At 49.2% G+C, this 11,553-nt stretch overlaps 1 annotated feature.

The window, feature by feature from the left end:
- Positions 9,867 to 11,066: an enhancer, noted in NCBI's record as "P300/CBP strongly-dependent group 1 enhancer chr2:11075650-11076849 (GRCh37/hg19 assembly coordinates)". NCBI's record gives its function as "activates an origin of replication core promoter dependent on BRD2, BRD4, P300/CBP, MED14 and CDK7 cofactors, with strong dependence on P300/CBP, by STARR-seq in HCT116 cells {active_cell/tissue: HCT116}" and the evidence as "EXISTENCE:reporter gene assay evidence [ECO:0000049][PMID:35650434]".

The following is an 11,553-nucleotide window of genomic DNA, read 5'->3' on the forward strand; positions in this document are numbered from 1 at the left end:
CCACCGACAGCTTGATAGGAGTCCACTAGCGAAGAACAAACACCCTTTCTGGTTTGGAGATCTCTGGTATCCCAGGACCTGGAGTCAACAAAGGAGATCCCATTTCTTGCTTATTTGGAACCATTAGAAGTCTTTCCAGACATTCTTCAAAAAGCTCCCCCTGAAACACACATCCGAGGGATCACCCCTCTGCCTAAAGCCTTCCATGGCTCCCCATTACCCTGGGGGAACATTTGAGCTGTTCAGAGTGTCTCCCACACTTCACTGTCTGCACCACCCTCCTCTCCAGCACTCCACATGATCACAACCATGTGAAGCTGGAAGTCAGGGTTTCTCAAACTCGGCACTAGTGACACTTTGGATATGATAGTTTTTTGTTTGGGGGCTTGGTTGGGGGCTGCGTTGTGAGTTGTAGAATGTTTAGCAGTCCCCCTGGCCTCTACCCATTAGATGTCAATGGTATTCTCCCCACCGTCCTATGGCGACAACCAAAAAGTCTCCAGACATCGTGAATGTCCCCCAGGGGCAAAATCACCCAAGCTGAGAACCACTTCTTTAAAAGCCAGCGGGGCTCGCTCTCTTTTTTCTAAACTCCAGGGGGCTCTGCCTGGAGCCCGTTGCTCTCTTTGCCCTCTGCCTGCTTAGAGCCTCCCCCAGGTTCGTCAGTGATCAGTTTCGATGTTACCTTCCTTCGGACACCTCTGGGCTGTCCCCTGCGCCCTGGCCGCCTGGATGGCTCTCCCAGGCTCCCTGGGTAGGGCTGGTCATCTCCTTCTAGAGATGGGGTCACTGAGACTTGAAGAGATGCGTGACTTGTCCCAGGCAATACAGAGAAGGCTGCCCTGGAGCCCAGGCTCAAACTCCCTTCCAGCCACAAAATGCGGTCTAGACATGGGATGGGACATTATCATAGAAAGGAATGCGGTGCTGACATACGGATGAATGAAGCTTGAAAACATCACGCTGAGTGAAAGAAACCAGTCACCACCGTGATTCCATTTATATGAAATGTCCAGAAACGGCAAGTCTGTAGAGACAGAAAGTGGCTGAGAGGGGAAGAGAAGCAAAGGGAGAAAGGAGAGATAGGGAGGTGATAGCTATGGGGTACAGGGTTTCTTCCTGGGGTGATGAAAATGTTCTAAAATTGACTGTGGTGATAGTAGCAAGTATCTGTGAATATACTAAAAACCAGTGATTTGTAAACTTTAAATGGGTGAATTGCATAGTATGTAAATTATATCTCAAAGCCATTACAACACACATTCACACACACATACACATACACACAAACCTTGACTAGAGATTGCAAATTTATCATGCTATCCATTTTATTGTAAAAAGAATTTTTTTTTCCAAAACCCTTCCACCTATTTATTTGTATATGGTTTTGAAGTGAGATGATTACATTTCTGGTAGTCTAGTGCCTTCAACTAATGGTTCCCAAACTTTCAGTGTGTGTTAGCATCGCACGCATGGCTTGATTTGCTGAAAGACACAAAGCTAAGCCTGTCCCAGGGCTTCTGATTCAGTGGGCCTGGGGTCAGCCCGAGGGTCTGCCTTTTTAACACACACACAGACAGGTAGCCTGATGCTGCTGGTCCCTGGATAGCACTTTGAGAACCAGTGCCTTGCTGAGTTCTCATATTAGTTCTAATGACTGTTCAGCTGCTTTCCTTTGATTTATAGGTTTCAAAAATCATATTATTGTCAGGCACGGTGGCTCACACCTGTCGTCCCAGCTTGGGAGGCTGAGGTGAAAGGCTTGCTTGAGCTCAGGAGTTCGAGGCTGCAGTGAGCCATGATCATACCACTGCACTCCAGACTGGGCAACAGAGAAAGACCTTATCTAAAAACAAAAAAAATCATATTATCTGCAAAGGACAGTTTTGTTTCTTCACTCCTACAATTAAGTGCCATTGTGTCTTGCTTTTCTGCATAGGCTGGGATCTCTGTAGCCTGTGGTTTTCAGCATCTTTTCTCTGGTGATGTCTGCTTCTGGTAGATCTCAAGTTAAGGAAGCTTCGTTCATTTCTAGGTTTCAAAAAGTTGTTTAAAATTCAGCGTTGAACATTTACATCTTTTTAAGTGTTTCTTCATTATCTTTTTTTTTTTTTTTTGAGACAGAGTCTCACTCTGTCACCCAGGTTGGAATACAGTGGCCCAAGCTCTGCTCACTACAACCTCCGCCTCCCAGGTTCAAGCAATTCTCCTGCCTCAGCCTCCTGAGTAGCTGGCATTACAGGTGCACACCACCACACCCAGCTAATTTTTGTATTTTTAGTAGAGACAGGGTTTCACCATGTTGGCCAGGATGGTCTCAAACTCCTGACCTCAAGTGATCTGTCCACCTTGGCCTCCCAAAGTTCTGGGATTACAAGCATGAGCCACCCAGCTCTCCATTATCTATTGGAATGATATATTTTCATGTATTTTATATGTCTTTAATGTATTTCTGTGAAGATTAATGATGAAATGATTTCCTAATGTTTACATACCCTTCCATTCTTGGAGTAAAAGCTATATGGTCATAATGCATTTTTATTTTAATTCGTGGCCAGATTCTGCTTGCTAATGTTTTATTTAAGATCGTTGCCTAAATATTGTTGAGTGAGATTGGCTTATAGTTTTCTAGTTTTGGGCTATCTTCTTCAGGTGTTGGTATCCGGGTTACACTAGCCTCATGAAATGAGACAGACAACTTTATCTCTTAGTCCATACTTTGGAACAGAACATGGTAATTACTCCCAATCCTTTGAGGCTCAAATTCTTAACCCAGCCCACAGGGCCCACAAGGCATGTGTCCACCACCTACCTCCCAGCCTCCCTGTCTATTGCTCTCTCTTCTTCTTACTCTACCCTCTCATATCTTGGTTTTCTTTCATTCTCTGGCTCCCCCTGCCACAGGGCTTTTGCACATGCTGCTCCCTTGATGGAAACATTCTCTCCGCTGTTTAACTTGTTTACGTCCTTCAGATTTGGGTGGAATCCTTGTCTCTTTCCCTGATCTCAAATGTGTCTAAGCTACACTCTAACTGCACCCTGTGCCTCTCTTCTGATGCTCATCACACTTGCAATTTTACCTTTTTTTTTAATTTATAGAATTCATATCTGTCTCTTACACTAGACTGGCAGCTCTTTGAGGACAGGGATTGAGATTCTGCATGCTATTGAACCTCCACCTCCCACCCAAGCATGCTACACACTGTCTGGCACATAGTAGGTGCTCAATAAATACGTGATGAATGAATGAAGGCATTTGCCCCTCGCTATGAAGGACCCATTTTAGCTTGCTTATATCAATAACACTTCCCAGCAGCCCTAATCTCTACCAGGCACATTTTATTAATAAAATGTTTACTTCTTCTCTAGTTACCATTACTGCTTTACGTCACATGCTTAAACTTCGGTTTCTCAGAATATCAGCTCTAGTCGGTATCTCCTGGATTCCCCTATGTGAAAATCCCCTAGGCCCCACTAGATCCCCCTGCCTTTTCTCCCCGCTCACTGCCCACTTCCTGGCCCCCACCTCTCATTGCTACATTGACAAGCTTTAAAACACAAACACTCTGTTCTGCGACTATAGTTATTTCTGTGCTTTGACAACCAGCTGATTCTAAACAAATTTAAACCAATAATCAGTGTTTTTAATATAATGATTATGCAACTATTCTTCACTGCAGATGCAGAGGATAGAACGGATGGAATCCCGTTCTCTACATCCGCAGATGTAAATGTCAATTCCATCCATTTCATTCTCTACATCTGATGCCACAGGATGAAGAAGACAGCGTGTAATTTTTACAAATTTCGTATTTTGATATGCCTTCTTCTTATCACTAGGATTATGCAGCTTTTTCATTCTAGTGTTTGTTAAAGACAAATGTCCTTTTCCTCTTGGAGACATTCTTTTCAGGACCTTCTAATTTCCCGATTGGATTTGTACCATTTGCTCTTGGGGTTGGTGGCACAGTTGCCATCCATGATTTCTTTTTCACGTAGCTTCCTGGGTTTGGTGGATAGTTTCTTAGTTTCTTAGCTACTGCATCATTTTCCTTCTTGGATTCCTTTTTGGATTTGCTGGGAATATACCCTTGGGTGCATCTTTCAGGATAGATCTATGGATGATAGACTTTCTGAGTCTGTATGTTTGAATATGCCTTTATTTTGCTTTCACACAGGACTGACAGTTTGGCTGCATGATGCTTTCTGGCTAATTTATCTGAAGTCAATCTGCTTTCTGTTCCTTTTCAGGTCATTCGGTTTTCCATCCTGGAGGCTTTTAGAATTCTCTGTATCTTTGGAATTCTGAAACTCTTTCACAACCTGAAATTTCACCTAGAAAGTAAACTTTTTCCACTGAACACTTGGCAGGGACTTTTACTTTGAAGACTCAAATCTTTCTTTAGCCCAGAGAAATTTACTTCTACTGTTGCTTTCTTTCTCTCCTGCATTTCTTCTGTTTTCTTACCCAAGCACTCTTATTGACTTAGTGTGCGTGTGTATGTTTTATTTTGTGTTTTTGTTTTGTTTTGTTTTTTTGCCTTTTTGCTCTATGTTTGAAGATTTTGTTGGCTTTATCTATCTTTATCTATAGATATAGATTATCTATATCTATATTGTTGGTTTGGTGTTCAACTGTGTTCATCTTATCATTCATCTAATTGACCCTTTTTGGAACTGTGGTTCTTAATTTCCAAGACATCTTTGTTTTCCTGTTGTTGCTGTTTGGTATCAGCTTATTGTTCCTTCAAACTTGGTTCTCTTATGCAGAACTCCAGGAAGCAGGAGACAATAGTGGTTTTGTGAAGCCTGAACCTGGAAGACTAAAGTGGGTAGGGGTGAGATCTTTGTAGTGTCTGTGCGAGACAGAGTCTCGCACAGAAAGGCAGAGCTTTGGGCGCAGAAAGCCCACAGTTCAAATTCTTCCTTGGGACTGACCAACACGCAGTATGATCTTAACTCAGCTGTAGGCTCAGCTTCCCCATCTGTAAAATGGGAAAAATAATTCCTGGTGTGTAGGCTTGTGGTGAGGATGAACGGGGATGGTGTGGGCAAAGCTCCCATGGGCCCTGGATGTGTACACTGATTGTGAATGAGTCTTCATCAGTTAACCTAGCACACGGCCCCTTTCATCAGAGTGGCAAATTGCCTTTTGTTATTCTTCACCCCGTGAGCTGTCTTGTTTTTTGACTATATATATGTGTATGTATGTATTTTAGGCATTTCTGGGCAGCTTCTCATGCATATTCAAATTCAAGCAGTTAGGGTTCTGGGAATGATTCATATGTTTGTTGCACAATGTAATCGATCTTAATATAGCCGTGTCACCAAAGAATGTAATTGCACGCGGGTCTCACCTCCCCCACCATCTGTTTGGGCCAAGGGAGATCAATAATCCCCATAAACTTCTGCCCCCCAGGCCTAATAGAGACTTGGTTGGCAGGGTTGAGGGATCCCTTTTTATCCCCTGGCTTTTAGTTTTTCATCATCCTTTCTACAGATGACCTGCAGTCAAGAGGGGAAAGTTGGGGATGCTGTGCATGTCCCTAAGCTCTGGTGACAATTCCTTGTACAGGGCCCATGATTTAGACCAGGTGTGATTGGCCCAGCAAGGCCCATTCCCGCTGCACCAGACAGAGCTGAGCAGCTGCCACCTGGGGGTGGCGTGGCCCCAGAATGGGGACACAGGATTCTGCAGGGAAGTAGAGCCGGCTTCAAGCTGTCGCCTGGTTTAAGTCCTTCCTACACCTCTTCAACTGTGAGGCACATAGTAGGTGCTCAATAAATACGTGATGAATGAATGAAGGCATTTGCCCCTCGCTATGAAGAACCCATTTTAGCTTGCTTATGTCAATAACACTTCCCAGCAGCCCTGATCTCTACCAGGCACATTTTATTAACAAAACGTTTACTTCTGATTCCTCTAATTCATCTAATTTCTCCTGGGGTCCTGTGGGGGCCAGCGCTCCCTCCCATCATGACTTGGGAGGCCAAGTGCGTGTTGTGTGTAGCTCTGAGCGGAGAGCTGGTGGGGTAGAGCCTCACACAGGGTCCTCCTGGGAATGACATCTGGGGCTGGGTGGTCGCTCAGCAGCGGCTATGGGGCCGGACCAAGGCCAGGTCCACGTTTGACGCAGTGCAGTTGCGGAGGGATGCTTCCCTTGATCAGCACTCCTTGGGGCAGGCATGTTACGGGTTCCCAGGGAGGAACAAGTGGGCCAGAAACCCTATGGGGGCTGCTAGATGCCACCTGCTGCTCCTGGCAGATGAAGTGTGGAGCTCACGCAGCAGTCTGACTCGCAGTCTGAGACCTGTGGTTTCCCTGGCAGGCCCTGGGGTCCCAGGACACGCATGGACAGGCTCCAGGCATGAACAGAGGCCCAGATCACAGCAGGCATCTCCAGGTCTGTGCCTTCTGTGCATGTGGCTCTTGGTCAACCCTGGCACCTGCTCAAGGCTGGCCAGGTCATCCCTTCCAGAGGGTGACTCAAGAGTCCCTGGAAGCCTTCCCTCAAAGTAGCCCTGGCCAAGATTCCACCATTCACGGGGTCAACCGCGATCATCCCTTTCTCATCTTTGAAACGTGAACTACTCATATTTCTTGAGCATTTTATAACAGACAAAGCCTTGAACGCACACCCCTTCACAGCGCTGCTGCTCTGTAGGGCTCTACAGACCGGTGGCTGGGACCTGCAGAGACCTGGCCCTCGCTCCCCTCCTTCCAGGCTCTCAGCTTGGCAAGCACTCTGCGAAGGATGGGCCGGCCTCTGGTCTCCACAGGTGAGGAGAGTGGGGCCTCGAGGTGAAGTGGGATCCCCAAACAGGCAAGAAGGCCAGGAAGAGGAGACAGGCTGGGAAAGCTACACACCTGCCCAGGGCCCACCACCAGAAAACCCCAAAGTGGAGGACGGAGCCCCCTCTGAGAATACGGCCAGAGCCTTCTCTGGGCACCGGCTGCTGCCTGAGCTGGCTTTGTGGAGCGAGGCCTCCAGTCCCAGAGACAAATGTCTGCTGCATTACTGTTCTGCTTGAGGCCGGGCTCATACCCTGTTCCAGGAGGACGCACACACTTCCGCTCCCCCTGCAGGGTCCCCCTGTCCTGACCTGCCATTGTTTTGTGTGTGTTTCCTTTCCACGTGGAGTCTGAAGGGGAGGATGTATCTGTCTGGGTGCGCATGCTGGGATCTGGGAACCACTTGCTCTCAGAGGCTCCTCCAGATGTCCTTTCTCAATGACACTGTCACAGCAGGGGCAGAGCCCTCTGGGAAAGCCACCTGGGAGGCTTCTTGGCAGCATGCAGTTCTTGTCACAGGGCTGCCTGGGGACCCCAGGCTGGACACTGTCCGTGGGCCAGCAGGCCTTGGCGGTCAGCAGCCTGCATGGCCAAACAGCACCCCAGGCAGCCAGGGGGTCAGGGCGCTGAGGGGTGAGCTCTGGAGCAATGTGTGCCTGTGTGTGTGCCTGTGTGTGTTTGTGCCCTTGTGTGTGTGCGTGTACATGTATATGTGTGTGTGTGTGCATGGAGGGAGAGGAGAGCAACTCCTCCTTTCTCGCAGGAGACATTTCCCAGCCTGGACTGGAGGGGTCGGGACTCACGAGTCTTCCCAGGCTTTCCTCAGGGCTGCCCTCCTGTCCCACCACCCCATGAATGAAAGGGGTCCTTTCATTCCTTCAGCACCCCTTTCTGCCCCATGAGACCCATAAATAGCTCTTCCATACCCACGCCTTCTTCTGTAAATGATACAAATCCCACTCCACAAACTCAGTAGACCACACTTTTCGGTCTCGTTGTGCCAAATAAACGTCCCTCGGATTCTGAGCTACCAGGACGTCACTGGGGGTGGTCTTTGCTAGGGCTCTAGGGCTCCTTCTCCCTCCCCAGGGATGGGCAAAGGTCCTGACGGGGCCTTTTTATAAAAGTGAGGTAAAATTCACATGACAAAATGAACCGCTAGTCATTTTAAAAGTACGATCCAGTGGCATTCAGCACATTCACAGTGTTTTGCCGCCATCACCTGCATCTGGTTCCAGGACACTTTCATCATCCCCAAAGGACACCCTCTACCTGGAACACAGCCACTCCCCAGTCACCTGTGAGGCCCTGGCAACACCAGCCTGCTCTCTGTCCATCGGGATTTACCTACCCTGGGTGTTTCGCATGAACAGAATCCTGCACTATGTGGCCTTTTGTGTCTGGCTTCTTTCACTCAGCATCATGCTCTGGGCTCGTCCACATTGCCGGGTGTGCCAGCTCATTCCATTTTAGGGCTGAGTAATACTCCCTGCTACGGCGATGCCACGTTTGCTCATCCATTCACCCACTGATGGACACTGGGTGGTTTCCAGGTCCTGGGGTCTTTTCTAGCACCACATAGTCAAGGGGGCGCCTGCATTCTCGGGTCTGCATTAGCTCCCTACGAGCCACCCACCCACTGTACCATCACTTGGGTTCCAGCTCCTGCCTCTGGACAACCTGCAGCCCTGGGATCCCTCATGACCTGTGTCCAGGCTGCTGCCAGGCAACAGAGTGCGGGTCCCCAGTGTTTGCAGGAGCCATGTTATCTTGTGGGGAAAATCTCTCTTTTCTGTCCTGCTGTTCCCATCTCTTCTCAAAGACAGTCAGTCTCCTCTTTAGAGATAAAGTAGCCCACCATGCTCTGCTTGGAGAGGGCAGGAAGGGGACCAGTTCCAGTCACTTCTGCTTTCAGCCCTAGAACCCACATGGCCTCACACAGAGACAGGCTCCCCAGGCAAGCTTCCTGCCTCCCGCAAGGGAAGGGAGAGAGAAGAGCAAAGCACACATGGATTCTCAATACGTGATCCTGCCTCACCTGCCCTGTGCTGGCATCCGCGTGCCCATCTCCACTGGATCCCTGTTCCTCCTCCAAGTGTTGGAGGGGGCAAGACTGGGGTTTGCAGCCTCATCTACAGGGGAGGAGAGCATGAGGCCCTTTCCAGCTGGCCGACTGTGTCCCCCTCCCTCCACCCCGCCCTGCTTGTGCCCCTTGATTTTGGCTGCTGTACTTTCTCTTAGGTTTGGCAGACCCCTCATCCCTGGGAAAGCCCCCACCTGCCCCTCCCTCTGCCTCCCTGTCATTGTCTTCCTTCTTTGGCAGCCTCCCCGTCCTGTGGGAGGCTGAAGGTCAGCCTCCCACTGTTGCTCAAGGGCATAGACACCTGGGAACAATAACAAATAGTGTCTCTGGCCCTGGCTCCTGTTGCCTGTCAAAGATGGGTGCATCCCAGAGGGGCAGGCTCTGTCTTTCCCTCCAGGCCATGAGCCCCTGAGGGCAGGGCTGGCTGGGAGGCTGCTCTGTGGAAGGTGATGCCGGAGTAGGAGGCTACATCCGCCGCCTTCAAATCCCGGCTGCACAAATGACCAGCTGTGTGCAGCCCGCTCTGTGGGGCCATGCTGAAGTTCCGCTGAGCTGCACCTGCAGGAGTGCTGTTAGTGTTCAGCACACACTGACCCCGAGAAGGTGCTTGGTAATGTTTGTGGAGTAAATGAAGCTGAATTGGAGGCCAAGTGCTTCGAGGCTGTGGGGGAGGCGGGATCTGGAGCTGAGGGCGTCCCTGCCATCTCGGGGGCAGGCCAGCTGGCCCTTGGTGGAGTTCCTCCCTCCCTCCCCCGACGTCTGCTGCTGGGTGATGATGGCTTCGTGTGCAGATGCAAAATGTCACCGTAATTAAAGCAACAAATCCAGGGCCAAGACTTTAAGGGGTGGCCTGAGTACACGGGGCTCCTGCAGGAGTAGGGGAGCATGATTGGAAGCTCTGCCTCACCCCCTCTGTCACATTCTCCCCCAAGTCTGTCTTCCGGAACTGAGCCCAGAGACTTTAAAGAACAGCCCACTTGGCCTAGTGGCTTTCTCCTTGGGGGCACGCGCCTCCAAGGAGGACGAGAGCTGAGCTCCCCAACCTCCGGGCCACTGGGGCTCCTCACAGGATGTATGTGGTCCCCAGAAACACAAGCATCCTTGTCTGTATGACCTGTGTGGCCCTCTTCAGGCGGCGGCCCCTGGTCTACATCACTTTCTCATTCTCCTCAGCGTGCCCGGCCTCCTGCTGTTCATTCACTCCGTTCTCTCGCTTTCCTAACCGTGCTGGACTCATCCTCACTGCCCACCGCTGAAGACTCTTCTCCCACCCCGCAGGCGGGAGGCCTCCAGTGGCTGTCTCTATATCCTCGGGCCCCACACAGTCTCTCCAGGCCCCAGGCTCCCCCCACCGATTTTACAGTGTGGTTCACTGTAATAGTTTGCTGGTCCTGTATATTTTAAATCATCTCTGGATAACTGATAATATCTATACAATGTGTTATACAAATCATTGTTATACTATATTTTTATTTGTATTTTTTATTGTTGTATGTTATCATTTATTTATTTTTTTCAAATCCTTTCCACCTTCCTGTGGCTGGATCCGCACATGCAGAACGCATTGTTAGAGAAGGCCAACTGCATGTAGCAGGTCCTCAAAGAAGAATGAATAAGTGAGTGAATGAGTGAATGCACAAAGAAACAAGGGAACACTTTGGTGACTACGGGAAGGACCGCATGAGTGGGAGTGGGTGAATGACGGAGGGAGCAGACATGGGAATGAATGAGTGGGTGACTGAGCAAATGAATGAGTCAGTAGATGAGTAAGTAAAGGCCAGGCATATTTGTTGGCGACAGTGGCAGAATGAACGAAAGAAGCCCAGCATCTCAAAGGGCAGGATATGGCCCCATCCTCTGCTGCAGTTTCAGGAGTAAAGTAAACAATGACAAAGCTTGGGTCAAGTGTGACTCACGGGATGCAACTAAAACAAGCAAATATCACTGTGAGCTGCAGGGTGCATTCCCAGCTCCGGCCATCAGAAAACCATGGCAACTGAGCCCTTCTCTCCTCTTAAGGCTCCAAAGCAGAAGGCTTACCCCAAGAAATGGGGAGAATTCCACGTTCCATGTATACGGGACATTTGGGATTTTCTTTCTGAAAATGTGGGTCCCGAGATGTGGCCCCTTCCTCTCACTTTTGCCCTTTTCCGTCAGTTTCTTTCTCCTCGAACTCTCCTAAGGCCTCTGAAGCATTAGTTTACATTTGAAAAATATATGTTGGGCTGTGTGACCTTGGAGAAATCACTCCACCTCTCTGAGCCTCGGTTTTCATGTGATCAAATAGAGATGATCCATTCGCGGCATAGCATTGATGAGATAATAAGCACATTTCTTTTTGCCAGAATTTAGATTTTATTTTGTGTTGTTTGGGTACAGTTTGGTGGGGTGGGGGGACAGGGGTAAGGAGGTGGCTGGATGCTGTAAGAATTTATCAGTGCCTGTCTCAGGCTGCTCCACCAGCCTGGGAGTTCCTGGTAGGTAGATTCTCTTATTCATCTTTGCTCCTTCCTTTATTTTCTCCATTTAAAACCATTTTCTGGGTGCTTGCTGAGGGGGCCATGTGCTATGTAGTGGGGCTGCTAAGGTTAATGGGACTCAGTACCTGCCCCCCTCTGCCCAGAAAGTGGGAGAGGGAGCCACCCAGGTGAGCAGGGAACATAAAGAGCTCTGGCTG

The sequence above is a fragment of the Homo sapiens genome, chromosome 2 (assembly GCF_000001405.40).
Source record: "Homo sapiens chromosome 2, GRCh38.p14 Primary Assembly".
Lineage (NCBI taxonomy): Eukaryota > Metazoa > Chordata > Mammalia > Primates > Hominidae > Homo > Homo sapiens.